The sequence below is a fragment of the Homo sapiens genome, chromosome 12, assembly GCF_000001405.40.
Source record: "Homo sapiens chromosome 12, GRCh38.p14 Primary Assembly".
NCBI lineage: Eukaryota > Metazoa > Chordata > Mammalia > Primates > Hominidae > Homo > Homo sapiens.
In genome coordinates this window covers 109,260,941-109,280,690 of record NC_000012.12, presented here as the reverse complement: position 1 = coordinate 109,280,690, position 19,750 = coordinate 109,260,941, and the positions used below count along the sequence as shown (strand labels likewise).

Here is a 19,750-nt window from a genome sequence, read left to right as displayed (position 1 = left end):
AAATGGACAAGTGGCAAGTCAGCTGCAGCTGTGAAGTGGGTATATTTGCACCTCCCTGCCTCTTTCCCCCTGGATTGTTGTGTAGTTCAACGTGCTGAAGAAAGAGAAACATTGTCTTGTCCCCCTGGCTTTGACCATAATGATACCATGAGAACTAAATGCTTTTCACAAGTCCTCTTGTTTAACCCGTGCCACAGCCTTAGGAGCTGGGTTCACTGATCATTTCCATCTTATTCTGAGGTTCTGAGATGGAAGTGACTTTCCCAAGGACATTCAGTGGGAAGGTGAGGGCCCGGGGCTGCTGCGACTCTGGCCCTTCCATGCTTTTTTTTTTTTTTTTTTTTTTTTGAGGTGGAGTCTCACTCTGTCACCCAGGCTGTAGCGCAGTGGCACAATCTCTGCTCACTGCAGCCTCCAACTCCTGGGTTCAAGTGATTCTTGTGCCTCAGCCTCCCAAGTAGCTGGGATTACAGGTGTGCGCTACCAGCCCAGGCTAATTTTTGTATTTTTAGTAGAGATGGGGTTTTGCCATGTTGGCCAGGCTGGCGTTGAACTCCTGGCCTCAAGTGATCCACCCACCTCGGCCTCCCAAAGTGCTGGGATTACAGGCTTGAGCCACCAGGCCCGGCCCCATGCCCTTTTTCTACAACACATGACTTAGACACCACACATGGTCTCTGCCTCTTCCCTAAGATGGGGGATTCGAACTCAGGTCATTTGATGGGAAGCCAGCTCACCCTAATGCTTTTGTCTTTGAAAGGGAACCTGTGGGAGGAGATGAAGGATGAGGGATTCAGCTTGGACACACTGGGCGCCTTTGCAGACTCCCCGCTTGGCTGTGACCTGGGGGCCTCAGGCCTAACCCCTGCCTCGGGTGGCAGCGACCAGTCCTTCCCAGACTTGCAGGTGACGGGTCTCTACACAGCGTACTCCACTCCGGACAGTGTGGCTGCATCGGGCACCAGCTCCTCCTCCCAGTACCTGGGTGCACAGGGGAACAAGCCTATAGCCCTGCTTTGAGCTGTCAGCCTCACCTGCCCTGGAACCCCGGCACCCGGCTTGGGCAGAGAACTGACTAGAACAGGGTGTTCCCAGAAGGCAGGTCCCTCATTGTCCCCGAAGCCTCTCCTGGACCTGTGGCGAAGTTGCCGGCTGGACAGGGAAGCGGTTCCCCTCAGCAGCCCCTCTCCTTCTCGTGCCTCCCCCTGGAGCTTCCGGAGCAGTTTCTGGGGGCTCTTCCAAGTCAGAAGAATGGAGGAAGGTGGACAAGCAACCCAGCATCCCCCGACCCCTTGACACTCCTCCGAGGCCTGAGCCGCAATGCCTGCCCGTGTTGAGTGAGACTTCTCCATCCTGGATCCTGGCTGCGTGACCTCAGTGACCTGCACCCCATTTTGGGACACCTTGGTGCATTAAGGAAACACCCTGGGGTGAAAGCCCTTGAATTCATCCTCATGGGAAATGGCTGAGTGGATCAAACCTCAGCCGCAGCCTCCGGGGGACAGGCCCAGGGCGGGAAATGGAGCCGGAGAAGCTTGAGCCTCTCTCTTGGACAGGACAAGCTGAACTCTGAAATGGGAGCCGGTCCAGGTGGCCTTCAGCCCCACCTTTCCGATAGTCTGTTAGAATTTTATTAGCGCAGATTCCTGGGCCATGCCGGGTACCGTGACCTTGTGTAAATTTATTTATATTTATTGTGGCCCATCCACCCCACTTCTGCAAACCCATCCCGAGGCCTCTGGAATGGGACTCCTTCTCCCTCCCTACCTCCCAGCCATCCTAACTCCTACAGGCCAGAGAATGACATCTCTAACTGGCTCATAATCCCTTGGCAGCCTGGGGCTACTTTTTAGAACCAGCAAGCACTGTTGATACTGTGAAACATCCCATTTTTTCCGTATTAGAGACCAGATATTTTTCTACCTGTTCATGATTCACATCTCTTCTTGCATGTACCTAAGAGGGGCGGTGCCATTGTTTGGGGGCTTGGGGGGCTTTCAAAGGGGAAAATGCGATGGGAGAGGGAGGAACTGGAGGGGGGTGCTTTTGTACTGGGATTTAAGACACCCCTGATGGAATGAAAGCCAACTGAACCACGTAAAGCTCGAACCACGTGGCAAGTGGTGGACAAAACTTCAACGCATGATATTTATTGGCACTTCCTCACCTCCCTTTGCCCTGCAGCTGTTTTTATGCTTCTTTTTCTCTCCTTGCTAATTACTGACTCCCCAAGTGGCAAGTTCCGCAGATAGCTGGGTTAGAAGAGAGACAGGGGAGTGAGCTAGTCAAATGTGAAAAATGCTCTCCCAGCAAAGCTGAGACAAAATTGGAGAAGCTGCAGCCTCACGCACCATCCCCCTCTTTCCACCAGATGGATGTTGACTTGGTGTCTGGGAGTTCCCGAACCCTAGAGCCAGGATGTTCTGTTTAATCAACAGCTCAGCCAGCTGCCTGGGAGTTTTGGCATTAAGCCCCGCCTTGAAGGGCGAGCTTTAAGTTTTTCCCAGTTCTGGAACTTTCTACCGAGTATCCACCACCCTTAGACACAATCCCAGTGCTACCCGTCTGACCTGCACTGCTCATCTGCTTTGTGTAACATGACCCCTGATAAGATGTTGAAACTGTTATTCACAAAGACTCCGTGTTTGGGCAACATCAAGACTGTAAGTGTAGAATTGAGCAACTGTCTTCTATCAATAAAGGCTGAATGGCAGCTCTGTGGCTCGTGAGAAGGTCAAAGGGAGATAAAGGATAATGACATCACTCACTCACCCCTTACAGGTGAGATCCCATTTATAGATGGGGAAATTGAGGCCCAGAGAGGTGACACCACTCAGAACCAGGCATTCTGACACCAAGTTCCCATCGCACCAGAAGCTGGGGGAAGTTTTTCATGAAGGTTACAATGAGCACCGCCTCCATTTACTGTCCCTGAGACCTGCTGCTTGACAGGCATCATTTCAGGCAGGGATCGTGAACGCCATTTACCACTCAGAGCAGAGGCTTGGAGAGGTAGGGTTGGCTGAGTGTGTGTCCTGGAGCTCAGTGGCACAGCTCAGGTGTGTACCTCATGTCAGAAAAGACAAGATGGAAAGAGACACACCCCTTCCAGCACCTGCTATATGCCAGGCCCTGCACTAGTCACTGCTGTAAATTAGCTCATTTGGTCCTCATAACAGCCCTAGGAAGCATGTCTGATTTGTTACTACACCCATTTCACAGATGAAGAAACTGAGGCTCAGGGGAATAAAGCAGGTGACTTGCTGTCCAAGATATAACAGGCAAAGGATGTGTTAATTAGGAGTCTAACTTTTTTTTATTTTTTGAGATGGAGTCTCGCTCTGTTGCCAGGCTGGAGTGCAGTGGTGCGATCTTGCCTCACTGCAACCTCTGCCTCCCAGGTTCAAGCGATTCTCCTGGCTCAGCCTCCCGAGTAGCTGGGACTACAGGCAACACCACCATGCCCAGCTAATTTTTGTATTTTTAGTAGAGACAGGGTTTCATCCTGTTGGCCAGGATGGTCTCGATCGCTTGACCTCGTGATGCGCCCGCCTCGGCCTCCCAAAGTGCTGGGATTACAGGCAGGAGTCTAACTCTTAGGCCCACCCAGGAAGTGGCCTGCAGCCTCAGGGGAGACCAGATTCGTGCACATGCAACGTTTCATGAGTGAGGAAGTTTGTCTGGGAGGATGGGCTATGGGTGGTGTCAGGAAGTGCTTGGTGGAGGCCAGGCATGGGGTAGGGAGAGGGTGCCTGCGGCAGCCTGGCTTTCTCTGCCCAGCACCTGTAACATCCTCTCTTGGCTTGGCTCCTAAATGACCCTGTGAACCCAGCCTGGCCAAAAAGAGCATTGCATCCCCCAGCCACCCTCTGAAATTGGCTGCAGTGGGGAACAAGTGACCTAGGCCATGGTGTTCACAGCCAATGAGCATACCCCAGGGACTTTGCAGGAGCTAGGGGACAGGGGCACCCTCCATATCCTGGAGTGCTCAGCTGGGAGAATGGAGCCCAGCCACTGGGTCACCACCAGGAAAGGGCTGGGAGCCACAGTTGAGTCTGACTTCTGTTCCTGGCCATGGGCAAGGGGGAGTCAGGTGTGCAGAGTCCAGGCAAAAATGCCAGGGTCACAAGCTCTAGGCAGAGCTCTGCTCACAGCCAGAGTGCCAGCTGGCCATGATGACACCAGAAGAAAGCATACAGGAGACATGGGGGGAATGAGACTCCTTCTGGGGTTGAGCAACTAATGGGAGAAAAAACGCAAATTGCCGTCATGTAAGCACCTGCCGTGTGCTGCACAGAGTTCAACACTAGTCAGGCAGCATCTCCCCGGAACCGCACCACAGCCTGCACAACCAGTGGGATGTTCCCATTTCCCAGATGAGGAAACTGAGGCTCAGAGATCATGTTTCTAAAGCTTTTCTTCCCCTTCTATGAGAAATCACCCACATTCTAGCAACAAAAATAGTAACAGCATTCACTAGCATGTATAGGGAGCTTATTCCCTGCAATGTATACCAGGACACAATCTATCCTTATTTTCCTCCCTGGTCCTAATCCCTGGAACCTGCGAATATGTTATTACCAGGCAAGTGGGAATAAAAGATGCAGATGGAATTATGTTTGCTAATCAGGGGCCTTAAAATAGGTCGAATTGCCGGGTGTGGTGGCTCACACCTGTAATCCCAGCAGTTTGGGAGGCAGAGGGATTGCCTGAGCCCAGGAGTTTGAGGCCAGCCTGGGCAACATACTAAGACTCCATCTTTACAAAAAAAATAAATAAATAAACAAAGGATTAGCCAAGCAGGGTGGTGCACACCTGTAGTCTCAGCTACTCAGGAGGCTGAGGCAGGAGAATCACTTGAGTCCAGGAGATCGAGCCTGCAGCGAGCTGTGATTGCACCACCACACTCTAGGCTGGGTGACAGAGCAAGACACTGTCTCAAAAAAAAAAAAAAATGGTGGAAGATTACCCCAGGTTATCAAGGTAGGCCAATGTAATCATAAGGGTCCTATGGGTAAAGGAGGGAGGCAGGAGAGTCAGTGTCAGATTTAAAGATGCTGTGAGGATGGAATGGAGCCTCTAGACGCTGGAAAAGGCAAGAGAATGGATTCTCTCCCCTAGAGCCTCCAGAAGGACCGCAGCCCCACTGACACCTTGATTTTAGCCCAGGGAGACACATGTTGGACTTCTGACCTCCAGAACTGTAGGATGATAAATTTATATTGTTTTAAGCCACTAAATTTGTGGGGATTCTTACAGCAGCCATAGACAATAAATACATCCCCATTTTACAGAAGAGAAAACTGAGGCTCAGAGAGGCTAGGTAGCTTAGGTATGATTAGTAAAGGCTAGAGATGGGATTCAAATGACACTGTGCTTCCCCACGGTCTTTTATCACATCTCAGAGGCCTCAGCTGACACCATCTGTTTGCTGGTTTACATAGGAACAAAAACTCTCTGAGGTTACGTGACTGGGATTTAACCCCAAGTCTGCAGGTCTCCTCGCCCCTCCATGGCACTGTAATGACCTAGTGTAGGCTCCTAAAGAGTGGTCAGTGGGAAGTTCAGGGAAAGGAATAAGAAGATGGATCAGAAGTAGGAGATGAGGTGCTGGAGCTAAGCATCACCTCCTTTGGAGGATGCTGGTTGTGTTGACTGTTGATCCTGTGGGTATAGATGCTGGACCTCTGATCTCTGGAATCAAAACCCTCAAGAGTCAAAGCAGGACAGAGATCTCACTGGCGGCTGAAATGTGGGCAAATCCAACAGCAGCCAAAGAGCCAGGCCAGGCCATCCCCAAGGGGTGTCCAGTCCACAAGAACCTGTCCAGCTCTTCTACAGTCACTCACAGGTTGCCACGGGACAGAAGCAAACACTCCCAGGAGAGGGACAACCGGGCTCATCTCTAGGACCCACATCCTCTGACCCCAAGGCTGCCCAGGCTTCCTCCTGTGGGGTAAGTGCCCCCCAACAGGTGGAAGCATCTCTGATCTTCTCTAGGGGGGTGCTTCCCACCTTCCATCATTGACTAGCGTCTCTGGTAACCACAGAAATGTGGTCAAACTTGCAGACTACCAACATCTCCTGGGGCCTTTTAAGATCTAGATCTCAGCCTGGGCAACATAGCAAGACCCCATCTTGGCCAGGTGCAGTGGCTCATACCTGTAATCCCAGCACCTTGGGAGGCCAAGGCAGGAGGATAGCTTGAGCCCAGGAGTTGGAGACCACCCTAAGAGACATAGCAAGACCCCATCTCTACAAATAATAAATTAGAAAATTAGGTGGTCATGGTGGTGTGTACCTGTAGTTCCAGCTACTGGGTAGGCTGAGGTGGGAGGATAGCTTGAGCCTGGGAGGTTGAAGCTACGGTGAACTGTGATAGTGCCACTGCACTCCAGCCTGGGCAACATAATGAGACCCCCATCTCAAAGGAAAAGAAAAAGATCTAGCTCTCCAGATCCATCTGGGATTCTGAGGCATGGCCGGGCACGGTGGCTCACACCTGTAATCCCAGCACTTTGGGAGGCCAAGTTGACGGGATCACTTAAGGTCAGGAGTTTGAGACCAGCGTGGCCAACATGATGAAACCCCGTCTCTACTAAAAATACAAAAATTAGCTGTGTGTGGTGGTGCACATCTGTAATCCCAGCTACTCAGGAGGCTGAGGCAGAAGAATCGCTTGAACCCAGTAGGTGGAGGTTGCAGTGAGCTGAGATCATGCCACTGTGCTCCAGCCTGGGTGACAGAGTGAAACTCCATCTCAAAAAAAAAAAAAAAAAAAAGAGAGAGAGAGAGAGAGAGAGACTGAGGCAGGGCCAGAGTCAATCTGAGCTTTTTAAACAAGCACCCCTGCTACGCTTGGGAGCTGGTGAGGGGAAGGGTGAGAAGATTCTAAGACAGAGTGAGGAGCGGATCGCAGGGTGGGCCTGTGAACTGAGATAAGGCAGACCCGAGGGCTAGGGACACGGAACATTCCTCTGACTTGAACTGAGAAAGGCCTTACACTTGTGCGGCCTGCAGGTGACCCTGGCGGCAACTAAAGGGAAGAGGAGGCTCCCAGAAAGGTTCAGGCAGTGGGAGTGAGATGGGGAAAGATGAACAAAGTACCTTGGGTGCCGCCTCACGGAGAATGAGCCTGGCTGGCCAGCTGCTTCCTTCTCCACCGGCCCCCAGGAGTTCTGCCACCGCCTGGGTCTGCGGGCGTCTGGATTTCAGCATCATCGCAGAATGGGGAGCAGGTGGGAGAGAAGAGAGGGAGGCGTGGCTGCAGCGGGGCGGGGCCAGCTGGGTGAGCGAGGGAAGCAAGAGGCAGAGGAATTGGATGTCCGGGTCACAGGTGGGGTCTATATATCCCGTCCGTGACGATCGAGGCATGCAAGTAAAAAGGTGCAATGACTTTTGAGTTCAATTGCTTCTAGACTCCACCCCTTAGATGGCTATTATCAAACAAACACATAAAAACCAAAAACAAAAAGAGGAAAACAAATAGTATGGGCAAGGATGTGGAGAAATTAGGGAAGTTTGTGCATTGTTGGTGGGAATGTAAAATGGCACAGCAGCGTTGGAAAAACAGTATGCTGATTGTGCAAAGAATTAAAAAGAATTACCGCCAGGTCCAGCAATCCCGTTTGCTTTTTTTTTTTTTCTGAGATGTAGTCTCGCTCTGTTGCCCAGGCTGGAGTGAGTGGTACGATCTCAGCTCACTGCAACCTCTGCCTCCCAGGTTCAAGCCATTCTCCTGCCCCAGCCTCCCGAGTAGCTGGGACTACAGGTGCGTACCACCACACCTGGCTAATTTTTGTATTTTTTGTAGAAATGGGGTTTCACCTTGTTAGCCAGGCTGGTCTTGAACTCCTGACCTCAGGTGATCCACCCGCCTCAGCCTCCTAAAGTGCTGGGATTATAGGTGCGAGCCACTGCACCTGACTCTGTACCCCCATTTTCATAGCAGCAGTATTCACAACCACCAAAAGGTGGAAGCCACCAAGTAATTCACTGATGGATGCGTGGATACATAAACTGTGCTCTAGCCACGCAATGGAGTATTATTCAGCCTTAAAAAGGAAGGAAATTCTGACCCATGCTAAACATGGATGAACCCTAAGGACATTATGCTAAGTGGGATAAGCCAGTCACAAAGAGGACAAATACTATATGATTCCACTTACATGAGGTACCTAGAGTAGTCAAATTCATAGACACAGAAAGTAGAATGGTGGTTGCCAGGGGCTGGGAGGGGAGGGGAGTGGGGAGTTAGTGTTTAATGGTACAGAGCTTCACTCTTGCAAGATGAAAAGCATTCTGGAGATGGACTGCACAGCAGTGTGGACGCGCTTAACACTACTGAACTATACGCTTAAAAATGGTTAAGATTTTCTTATGTATATTTTACCACAATAAAAATATACAAAATACAAAATACTAGACCAGGTGTGGTGGCTCACACCTATAATCCCAGCACTTTGGGAGGTGGAGGTAGGTGGATCACTTGAGGTCAGGGGTTCAAGACCAGCCTGGCCAACAGGGCAAAACCCCGTCTCTACTAAAGATACAAAAGTTAGCCAGGCATGGTGGCATGTGCCTGTAATCCCAGCTACTTGGGAGGCTGAGGGTGGAGAATCGCTTGAACCCAGGTGGCAGAGATTGTGGTGTGCTAAGATTGCACCACTGAACTCCAGCCTGGGCGACAGAGCAAGACTCTGTCTCAAAAAAACAAAAACAAAAAAACATGTAGGCTCTTTGCCTGTGTTTCCTACACAGTATTCCATCCAGAGACATACCGCGTTGGTCAGGGTATTACAAAATACAGAACATCCTCAGGAGCATCCTCTCACCTCCCCTCCCAGGAGAGGACCACCTCTCTGTCAGCAGACTGTTCTCCAAAATCCAGCCCTGGTTCAGCAACCGGAAACACCTAGGGATCCCTAGCTGTGTGTTTTAGTTAGAAATCTGTTTCACATATGTTGCACAAAAGAGAGAGAACAGGGGCTGTCAGAGCACAGAGGAGGGCTCCCAACCCATGGGAGAGGTGGTCAAAGAAGGCTGCCTGGGGGAAGTGCCATTTGAGTTGGGTTTTGAGGGATGAGTAGGAGTCAGCCAGACAAAGGCCAAGGGGGAAGAGGTTCCCCAGGAGAAACAGCCAGTGCTCACCTGGAGGTGAACTGACAGTTTAGACTGGTTGGTTCACGGTAGTAACAAGATGCTCTCGCATAGCTGAAGTTGGGCCCCAGGACTCATGCCATGTCTTATGGGATTGAGTGATACTTTTGTCCCAAGGGCACTTAGTACAAGGAAGTGGCATTTTCGGCAGATCTGTCTGGACGTCAAGCAGCGTGGCTCGGTGCATCGGCTGCACGGCCAGTGCCCAGAAGAGGGCTGATTTGTCCACACTGGTTGAGTTAGCAGAAGCCATAGGGAGGCTTTGCTGTGCGTGGTGGTCATTCAGAACCTTTCTGTGGCCTGTGTGGATGGTCCTTGTTCTCTTCTCTATCACGTTCCTGTCACAAGAACTCTGAAAAGTGGACCCTGGACATTTCTGGATTTAACAGTCACTGTTTTGACTAGTCGTGACCCTAAACATCTCCTTATGGTTAGCCACTTGCAATTTCTACCTGTTGGGAACCCCAGGATATCAGTCCCCAAGGGCAGGAGTGGCTTGCCTTGCTCATGGCAGCACCCTCTCACAGTGCTCAGCCTGTGGCATATGCTCATAAAATAATGGAAAAAAAGCGTTTTTCTGGTGCTGTGTGCACTGTGAGAACTGGAGCTCCCTCTCTGGCCACGCGGCTGGCTGCTTCGTCTCAACACAGCTCTGTTGATCTGGATGTGCTCTCAGCTGCAAAAAAGCTCAGGAAGTGATTTACAAAACAAACAACTGGTTTTGAAATGCAAAAATAACTCTGGAGAAATGTATTAATGTCTGCAATTTACTCTGAAATGTGACAAAATAATAACATGCATTCACAGAGAGATGGACAGATGGAGAGAATGGTGTTAAAGAAGGTACAAGCACAGTCAGATGTCAATGGTGGCATCAAGATGGTGGGTTGGGGTGAGTGCTATGAAATATTTTGACTTTTTGGCATTTGGAAATTTTCATAGTAAAACGTTAGGGGAAAAGAATGACCCTGAGAAAAAAGGCCAACTGACTTTTGGAGCAGAGGAAGGCAAAATAACAAGATAATAAATAAAATAATCAATTGGGGAGGCCAAAGAAAGGAGTAGAAATGGGGATAACCCAGTCCACATTTACATTTGTGATGTGGAGGAGCCCACTGTGCATGCAGAAATGTGAGGTTCCTCTGAGTGGTTTAGGGGCTACAGAATCTGCCAATCAAGGGCTGAAAAATCTGCCAATCGGGAAAGAGGGCAGCCCACCCTAGTGTGGGCTCTTGGCATGGAGAGCATGAGGCTTTTGATGAGGATCTGAATGATGCCATTGGCTGAATTAGCCAGGAAGTCAGGGAGGCAGGAGGAGTGGAGCTTGGTCTACAGGATGCTCTCATGTTTTGGGATCTAACCCTTGCAAAGGTTCAGGATTTACGGAAAGGCATTAAGCCCAGGGGGATTGGGTCTGAGCCAGCCTGGGTTCCTAGCCTGGCCCCTCCTTTTACCTGCTATGTGCACTTGGAGAAGTCTGCTCATCTCTGAGCCTGGGTTTTCTCTTCTATAAAAATGAGGATAGAAGCTGGGTATAGCAGCTCACACCTCTAATTCTAGCACTCCAGGATGCTGAAGTGGGAGGATCGCTTGAGGCCAGGAGTTTGAGACCAGCCTGGACAACATAGATAGACCCTGTCTCTACAAAAACCAAAAAAGCTAGCTGGGCATGGTGGTGCATGCCTGTAGTCCCAGCTACTCGGGAGGCTGAGGTGGGAGGATTATTTGTGCCTGGGAGGTTGAGGCTGCAGTGAGCTGAAATCACATCACTGGACTCCAGCCTGGGCAACAGAGCGAGACCCTGTCTCATAAAAAAAAAAAATGAGGATAGAGTGTATGTAGCAGCCACCTCCAAGGGTCACATGAGGATTGTGTGGAAAGAGGCCAGAACCTGGCACGTGACCAGTGGCCATCGTAGGGAGTGTTCAGTTAGCACCCAACCTGCCCAACAAGACCTCTGTCCACACTCAGTTGTCTGATCCTTTCTCCCTTCCCCTTGTGACTGGCTACACTAAGTCCTTCAAGGGAGAAAAGTTAGCCTTGTCAGAGAAAGCACTTTCAGCTGATGTCCACAGAGTAAACTCCAGCATCCTTAGCAGCAGATAGCAACTTGTGTCCGGGTTTCAAATCCGGATGAAAACAAACAATTGACCTGTAGTCTTCAGGATGCAAAACCAAATCAGAGCTTCCTCCTCCCCATCCCAGAGGGCTGCATTTCAGCTTGTTCTCAGGTCCTCGCCTCCCTGCCTGGAGGGTCTGCTGATACAGACCACCATTAGGTGCTGCTGTGGGTGGAAATTAACTGCTGTCTTCTGGGCTAACTGGGCCATCTCCAGGGCTAAGGATAGAGCTCCAACTCAAACTAGTGCAAACATTAAAACAAACAAACAAAAACCATGGATAGGTTCCTGGGACTGGGCTACTGACTTCAGGCATGGCTTGATCCAGGCATCCAAGTACCACCAACAGGACTGGATCTCCCCCTCTATCTCTGGGCTTGGCTTCCCCCTGCATTGGTAGGTTCTCTCCACATCAGCACTGTCAGCCATCCCTAAAGAATTCTGATCGGCTCTACTGGGGATACACGCCCATACCTGCGTCAGTCACTGTCAGGGGGAATGGAGAACTCTGATTGGCCCATCCCTGGTGAGGGGGAATTGCCTGGAAAAGGTGTCAGGCAGAATCAAGGTAACAGTTGTTGTTACGTGTTTTGGAGACAAAATTGAATAGTCACTGTGTGCTGAGAAGCCACGGTGGGGGGCGGGTAGGGGGTTCTTCTGCAGTTTGGGTCCATGTAAAACCAACTCCTAAGTGTGGCTTAAGCCTGCCCACCAAGGACCTAGGTCATAAAAGGAAAGGGCTGGGTTCTGGAGCCAAGCAGACTTGATTCCGTCTCTGCATAACCATGGACAAATGCCTTCACCTCTCTGTGCCTCAGCTTCCTCATCTGCACAACAGGGGTGGATCAAGGTGGTGGAAAGGAATGGAACTCGCACGTGAAGTGCCTGGGCCAACCCCCAACCCCTTCTTCCAGAGAAGCTCCCTTTTTGCCTGTGGTATAGACTAGGCTTGCATATAATTTTCTAAAACATTTTTCCCCAGTGCTTTCAAAAAGGGATGACTTTGTCCATTTCAGTCTAGCCTTCAGCTTCCTTCACTGCATCCCCGTCTGCCCCTGTGATGGGAACTCACTCAAGGTCTCAGCTGTGGTGTCAGGAATGGAGGGTGCAAAGGTGAACGCCTACCTTTGCTCCTGGAGGCAACCTGCCTTCTCCAATCCAGATAATAAAGTCAAGGCCAAAGTGTTTCCTTCAAAAAATAGTTTATTCTGCACATTTCCTAGTAGGCTCTCTGCCCACCGTTCCAGGGTAGCAGCTACTCATAACTTGTCTTTCTCTCCAAAACCAAGAGGGCCTTCCCAACAGAAAAACCTTCAGTTCCCAAAGCAGCATCGATTCTTCCCCTCACCCCAGCAAACCTCGGGGTGGAATAATGAATCATTCACCTTCTCCCACCCCTCACTGCCCCGCCCCACCTTCATTTGCCAGGACTGTCACTGGCTGATGGTCAGATTTTGTCTTTTTCAACTTGGATACCCTCAAGCATCCCAGCTTTTGGAGGCTTCCCTGGGCAACCTCATGGGCTTCCACATTGACCAGGCATTACATTCAGCATCCTTGGACAAACCACCCATCAGAGCAGTGGGTTGTGGCCAGCTCCCTCCATCCCCGACTCCGCCCCAATGGAAGAAACCAGAGGATCACAGGGCCCCAGGCTGTGCCGCCTGCAGAGCCAGGAGCTGCTGGGTGCATTGCAACGTTCTCCCTGAGCAAATCGGCATGGTCACCACAGTCCAGTCCTCAGTCACCGACAGCTCTGCCCCTCGGGGTCAGATCCCACCATCGGTGCTCATCAAGCCAGCAGGCGAGGAAGCAACAGTAACTCAAGTGGCCCTCCAAGGGAGCAGTGGTGACCGTCACAGAGGTGACACTCGTGAGCAAGCTGGGCCGTGGGTGTGGTAAGGGATTCCTCTCCGCCTCTGTGCTCCCCACTTGGGCAAGAGGAGGGTGCATGCGCAGGCTGGGGGCCAATCCTGCAGGGGGAAGGGGCAGTCCTCATTTTCCTTGGAGAGAAGAGGTGGGCAGAGGACCTCGAGCTATGCGAGAGCATCCTCCAGAAGCCCTGAAACCTCCAGCTGGGTACTTCCATTCATTTTGCTTTCCCTCTCTCAAAAAGAGAATCCCTGGCAACCAGTGCTAAACATGGCCTATCAGTGGGACCCTCCTAGTGATTCACTAGCGCCATTTGGGGAACAAAATAGCATTTCACTCTCTCAATAAAAAAATCATCTGGCTGAAGATGGTGGCTCATGCCTGTAATCCCAGCACTTTGGGAGGCCAAGGTGGGTGGATTACCTGAAGTCAAGAGTTTGAGACCAGCCTGACCAACCTGGTGAAACTCTGTCTCTACCAAAAATACAAAAATTAGCCGGGCATGGTGGTGGGCACCTGTAATCCCAGTTATCTAGGAGGCTGAGACAGGAGATGGAGGTTGCAGTGAGATCATGCCACTGCACTCCAGCCTGCATGACACAGTGAGACTTTGTCTCAAAAAAAAAAAAAAAAATTCATCCATACATTTTTCTGGGTGACTAGACAGTATCCAAAGAAACATCATTACAAAAATAGGTTTTCTCTAGTCCTGTCTATATATATATATTTTTTTCCCTTGGCCCATTTATTTGGCTGAAATATATGAGATGCTTACTTACATCTGGTGCTGGTCTCAGAGTAAAAAAATAAAAGATTTCACGATGTGGTATCCAAGGATCCTAAAGAACGCCTGGATCCCACATGCCAGGCACTGTTTTGCAAAAGGAAACAGGGATGTTTTAGCTTGATTAGATTTAGTGATGCAATAAAACTGCTGTCTTCAGAGACAAAACAAAATAAACTTCCCAGCTATGGAGAGGAGGCTGTTTTTGTTTGGAAGAGGCACTCCTGGGCCTTTTGTTAAGACGGGTGTCAGCTCGGAACCAGCAGCCCTGCAGAAGTGCCCAGGATTTTCTTTGTTTAAAAGCAAGTCTTCAGGGTCTGCTGAGGGTGTACGGGTGGTGGGTCTGGGTGGTTCCTTTTGCCGTGGTCCCGGGAGTGGCTGGGCGGGCCACGGTCAGGTGGAGGCCGGGCTGTCCATGGTAGACAGCAGGTGAACGACCTGCGCCCGCTCAGCTGGGCTGATGTGCTGGCTCAGGTATATCACACAGTCCACGGCCACCTCGGGGTTTTCTTCAACCAGGCTGTGGGGGAGGTGAGAGGAGGGCTGGGATCACTCCAGCCACTTTTTCAGTGGCCCCAAGGGTGGCAGAGTCCTTGTGTGGGGCCACACCCCAGAACCCAGAGCTCCCGAGTCCCTGCTGTGGTCCCCATGGGGGTGATGGTCCTGTGCAGCAGGAGGGGCTGTGACCTGAAGTTCAGAATGCCTTGAGGCACCACCGTCCCTACTGGTCACTGCTTTGTGACATGACCTGAGACAAGACACTGCCTTGAGTCTCAGCTTCATCCCCAAAATGGGGTCCCCTGTGCTCGACTCCCTCCTTCACGGGGTGACCCCATGGCAATTGGGGGAGGGGACCCTCTGGAAAGGTCAACACTGGCGTGGAAGACAGCAGCCTGAAGGCTAGCGGTTCCAAATGTGGGTTCTGTGACCAACCCTGCTCCAGCTGTGACTTTGGACAAGTCCATATTCCAGCAAGGTTCATGAGTTGGAAGCATCTCACACGGCCTTCAGAGTACCTCTAGGCTCTCTGTCCCACCCCAGCCACTGTGCTGGGAGACCCGACATTAGGGAGTGTGGTCTCTTTGCTGGGGAGCGGGGAGGGGGCGGGGACAACCCCAGACTGCACAGGGTGGCGGGTTCAAGTGGCTGCATAGGAGTCGGGTAGCTAGGGGTCAATCCAGGCTCGGGTCCTTGCCAGGAGGCTGGGAAGCAGGTGCGGTGGCCACTCACCCTCGGATGGTCTTGAGGACAGAGTCGTGCTTCAGGTACGTGATGTTCTCACGGATGGTGGAGCGCGGGCCATCCCCTGCCTGCCAGTGCTGTTCCAGCCACTGCACAACCACCTGGTTGTTGTCCCACAAGTAGGCCTGGGGAGGGGGCAGAGGATGCCTCAGAGAGGGACCCAGCTGTGGGCCAGCTGTCTCAGCCCCCAGCACCCCCTGTGCTCACCGGCCTCGTTCTCACCCCAGGCCCACCTTGACAGCCCCCTCCGTCTCCACGAACCAGCGACGCAGCATGGACTGGATATGCACGTGACTCAGCTCCCCGCTGGCCTGCAGGATCTCCTGCTTGACCTGGTCCTCCAGGAGGAGGCGGCGCAGACGCCAATACAGGAAGGTGCGTGCGGTCTTCCACTCCAGGATGTCCTGTGGACGAGCCAGGCTTGAATCCCCGGAAAGGGAAGGAGGAGACGGGACACTGGCTCTGACCACACCCATGACAGTGGCTGCCCGGGGCTGGGCCCAGGCTCTGAGATCATTCCCAGATCATCCCAGGCAAGTAAGCTGAGGCTCAGGGAGGAGAAGGCACCTGCTCAGAGGCAGGACGTCACCAGGACTCCAGACTGGCCATAGTTGAAAAAATGTCCCCCATAAAAACCTGGCACCCACTTCTACCTCAACCGACACAAACACAGGCTCGTGTGAGGCATGAGTCAGCTGGGAGGGAGAACAATGCAGCAAGAGAACCAATGAGCACTGGACATGGGTAGGAGGTGACTGTGGGAGTCCTTGCAATGGTGAGGGGTGGGTGAATGCTGGACAGGAACAACGGTTTCTACCCCTGGTCCAGGTCCAAACTGACCGAGCCATCAGACTAGTGGTCCCTGAACTTTGCTGCTTATTAGAATCTCTTGGGGATCTTTAAAAAATACGACCGCCTGGCTTCCATCCAGGTGTTTGGATTTCACTGGTCTGCAGTGCCACCTGGGGATCGGGATTATTTTAAAGTTCCCAGGTGACTCCCACCTCCTGCAGCATTTGACCCATCCCAACCACCACCGCCCTCCCCGCCCCCGAGCCCAAATGTCCTCCATGTTTTGGAAAACAGGGTGGGCTCTTTGCACCCTACACGGCAGCTGTGGCTCTCACAGATATGACGCCCTTCTCCAGCATCCGGCCGGGTGTGTCATGGAAGTCGGCGAACTGCACCGCCACCTGGTGGTAGATGGGGAGCAGCAGGTCCTCGCGAGCCTTTAGCCGGCCCTCCAGGTCCTTTCGGTCCTTGTCGGAGAGATCAGGTTCCCCTGCAGGTGAGCAGAAAGGCCAGTCAAGCCATGGAAGCTGGTCATATGTGATGGGGTGGAGATTTTTTTTTTTTTTTGAAGAAGGCACAAATCAGGATTTGCAGGACAGGCCTTGCCTTGTGAGAGGTCTGAGCTTTAACTCTGATATTACCCCTGCTGCTACACAGGCTGCCCTCAGCCCCCTAGGTCCCCCAGAGTCCACTGGCCTGGCCCCCACCCCAGGCCCATCTTGATGGCCCCCTTTGTCTCAGATCAAATAGCTAGTACAGTCTCAGAAATGCACTCACAATTGCAAGACAGCATTCAACATGCAACTCTACATTTTCCCCTTCCATCAGACCCATCGTGCTTGTAGGATACTATATCAATGATTTTTAGTACACATTGTAAAATATGATAAGGGAATATTATAAGCAACTCTATGCCAAATTGACAACTTAAGATGAAATAGACAAATTCCTTGAAACACACAAACCACCAAAGCTCACCTAGGAGGAAACAGATAACACAAATAGTCCTATATATAACAAAGAAGTTGAATTTATAGGTAAAAACCTCTATCAAAAACATAAAGAAATAATGCCAATTCTGCAAAAACTCAGAAAATAGGAGCGAACACTTCAACTCATTCTATGAGATCAGCATTACCCTGATACCAGCCAAAGAAATTACACGCACACACTGTAAAAAATCTTGTGAATAGCACAGTTATAAAGACACTGACACTTAAAATGGATATTTAAATATCATCTTGTGGCCAGACTTAGTGGCTCACGCCTGTAATCCCAGCACTTTGGGAGGCTGACGCAGGCAAATCACTTGAGGCCAGGAGTTCAAGACCAGCCTGGCCAACATGGTGAAACCCTGTCTCTACTAAAAACACAAAAATTAGCCAGGTGTGGTGGCACACACCTGTAATTCCTGCTACTTGAGAGGCTGAGGCATGAGAATCGCTTGAACCTGGGAGGCAGAGGTTGCAGTGAGCTGAGATTGCGCCACTGCACCCCAGCCTGGGCAACAGAGCAAGACTCTGTCTCAAAAATAAACAAATAAATAAATAAAGATAATTACATCTAAAGATGACAAGTAAAACAAAGCTGTCATTCAAACAAAATTAGTAAAATATCTTATCTCTGATTGGGAATTCTAAAGGAACATTTTGCCACCAAAATTCTGATAATCCCCATCAGCCCCAAATACTTCAATTGCTATCTTTTGTGTATGCTGAGAAATAAATTCACGATGGCAATATATATATATATATATATATATATATATATAATGTTAAAAAGGTTGATTTAGAAATGTGAATGTCCTCCAATCATGGTAGCTCATGCCTGTAACCCCAGCATTTTGGGAGGCTGAGGTAGGTGGATTGCTTGAGCCCAGGAGTTTGAGAACAGCCTGGGCAACATGGCGAAACCCCACATCTACAAAAATACAAAAATTAGCTAGGCATGGTGTTGCGTACTTGTAGTCCCAGCTACTCAGGCTGAGATGGGAGGATGGCTTATGCCTGGGAGGCAGAGGTTGCAGTGAGCTGAGATTGCACCCTGCACTCCAGCCTAGGCAATAGAGCCAGACCTCAAAAAAACAAAACAAAACAAACAGACAAATGTGAATATCTTTAAAAATCTCACAGTTATTATAGCTGTATTTTGGTATTTTTTCATTTTATTTTTAACATCCTAGAAACCCCCAGCAGTGGGCCAGCTGGGCCTCTCTTGACCTCTGAGAGGTGAAGCCTTTGGGACCCCCTTACCTAGCTGTTCCATGAGCTTCTTGTAAGCTGGATCGATCCTTCTCATGGACTTTATCAGATCTTTCTTTCGGAACTTAATCTCCACTGTCCCCTCTGGTTCCAGAACACCACCCCTTAAAAGAGAAGAGGCAGGGATGGGGGTATATGAGGCATTGCCCAGCAAGCAAGGGCTAATGGATGTGGGGGGAGCTGGAGGGAAGAGAGCCAGAAGATCTGGGTGTCAGTCCTCAGCTCTTTTACCCCCACACATGCTGTGTGCCCTTAGACAAGTCACTTTCCCTCTCTGGGCCTCTGTATCTTTACCCACAGATGGAAAGACTGAGCCAACTGTTTAAAATAATGCTTTCTGAACTCTGGAGGGCCCCTTTCAGGTCTAAGAGTGTACGACTTTTTCCATGGCAGCATAACCCTCCTGCTCTCCAGCCACAGTCCTCTCTAACTTTGCTAATTTCTGCCCTCCTAGAGGAGGGGCACTGTTTCTGATCGCTTTAAATCTCACAAAAGCACCTTGAGAGCCCAGTGTAGTCTTGTGTGAGCTGTCCTCCCATTTCCAACATACATTTTCTTTTCTTTCTTTTTTTTTTTTTTTGTTTTTTTTTTAGACAGGGTCTCACTCTGTCACCCAGGCTGGAGTGCAGTGGCACTATCTCGGTTCACTACAATCTCTGCCTCCCGGGTTCAAGTGATTCTCCTGCCTCAGCCCCCCGAGCAGCTTGGATTACAGGCGTGTACCACCATGCCCAGCTAATTTTTGTATTTTTAGTAGAGACGGGGTTTCACTGTGTTGGCCAGGCTGGTCTTGAACTCCTGGCCTCAAGTGATCTGCCCCCCTTAGCCTCCCAAAATGCTGGGATTACAGGCGTGAGCCACCACGCCTGGCCTCATTTCCAACATTTTTATTTACCCCTTATTCTCCCCCTGCCCCCTTTTGCTTTTGACAGCTTAGAAGCCCTGAAGAATGCTATCAGTAGCTCTGAGCTTCCTGGTGGCCAGCATGAAAAGTTAGCAATGACTCCATTCAAGTGCTGCTCAGTATCCTGAGTCTTCCTGGAGGACTGACCTCAGCAGTCCCTAACAAGGGTCTAAGTGCCCTGAATGCAGGACAAGCTTGGCCCATTTGCCACCATATCATAATGTCTACCAGAATGGCTGGCATACAGTGAGGTAATCAATGGATATTCATTGAATTAGCAAATGAATGAGGGAGTGAACACAGGAATGCCGTGCCTATATTTGGAGTAGAATGACTCTTGAGGCCTTGACATCCTGTGTAGCATGTAGTTTTCACTTCAAAGTCATCAGTCACTGTGCTGTGAACATTATTGTCATCATCCTTTCTGTAAGAATCTCTGGAATAAATTCCTCCTAAGGAAAGTGCCAAGGAGGTTACCTCTCCCGCGAAGAACCGGTATCCTCTCATGCAAGTATTCATTCAGTCATTTGTTTAGCCAGTATTTTCTGACCACCTACCAGGAGAGTAAGGCACTGTGCTAGACCCTGGGATATAAAACTGAATAAAACATTTCCTA

At 50.5% G+C, this 19,750-nt stretch overlaps 2 protein-coding genes across 14 annotated transcripts in view, besides 2 other annotated features; one reads left to right on the top strand and one right to left on the bottom strand.

Annotated features, from left to right (window-relative positions):
• Positions 1–2,713, top strand: part of FOXN4 (forkhead box N4) — a 31,307-nt gene extending 28,594 nt beyond the window's left edge. For all 4 annotated transcript variants that reach the window (NM_213596.3, XM_011537922.3, XM_047428311.1 and 1 more), the window contains one exon: positions 761–2,713. In NM_213596.3, the coding sequence (NP_998761.2) occupies positions 761–1,020 (260 nt within the window). In that variant the 3' untranslated portion in view covers positions 1,021–2,713. The remainder of the gene's footprint in view (positions 1–760) is intronic.
• Positions 7,053–7,347: a silencer, noted in NCBI's record as "tiled region #176; HepG2 Repressive non-DNase unmatched - State 10:DNaseD, and K562 Repressive non-DNase unmatched - State 10:DNaseD". NCBI's record gives its function as "represses a minimal TATA promoter and a strong SV40 promoter by Sharpr-MPRA in HepG2 and K562 cells {active_cell/tissue: HepG2 | K562}" and the evidence as "EXISTENCE:reporter gene assay evidence [ECO:0000049][PMID:27701403]".
• Positions 12,465–19,750, bottom strand: part of ACACB (acetyl-CoA carboxylase beta) — a 157,038-nt gene continuing 149,752 nt past the window's right edge. For all 10 annotated transcript variants that reach the window (XM_047428764.1, NM_001412734.1, NM_001412737.1 and 7 more), the window contains 5 exons: positions 18,222–18,334; positions 16,305–16,459; positions 15,411–15,581; positions 15,166–15,302; positions 12,465–14,455 (listed from right to left, as the gene is read on the bottom strand). In XM_047428764.1, coding sequence (XP_047284720.1) covers positions 14,329–14,455; positions 15,166–15,302; positions 15,411–15,581; positions 16,305–16,459; positions 18,222–18,334 — 703 coding nt within the window. In that variant the 3' untranslated portion in view covers positions 12,465–14,328. The remainder of the gene's footprint in view (positions 14,456–15,165; positions 15,303–15,410; positions 15,582–16,304; positions 16,460–18,221; positions 18,335–19,750) is intronic.
• Positions 16,278–16,387: an enhancer, noted in NCBI's record as "active region_6984". NCBI's record gives its function as "activates an Ori minimal core promoter by ATAC-STARR-seq in GM12878 lymphoblastoid cells {active_cell/tissue: GM12878}" and the evidence as "EXISTENCE:reporter gene assay evidence [ECO:0000049][PMID:35858748]".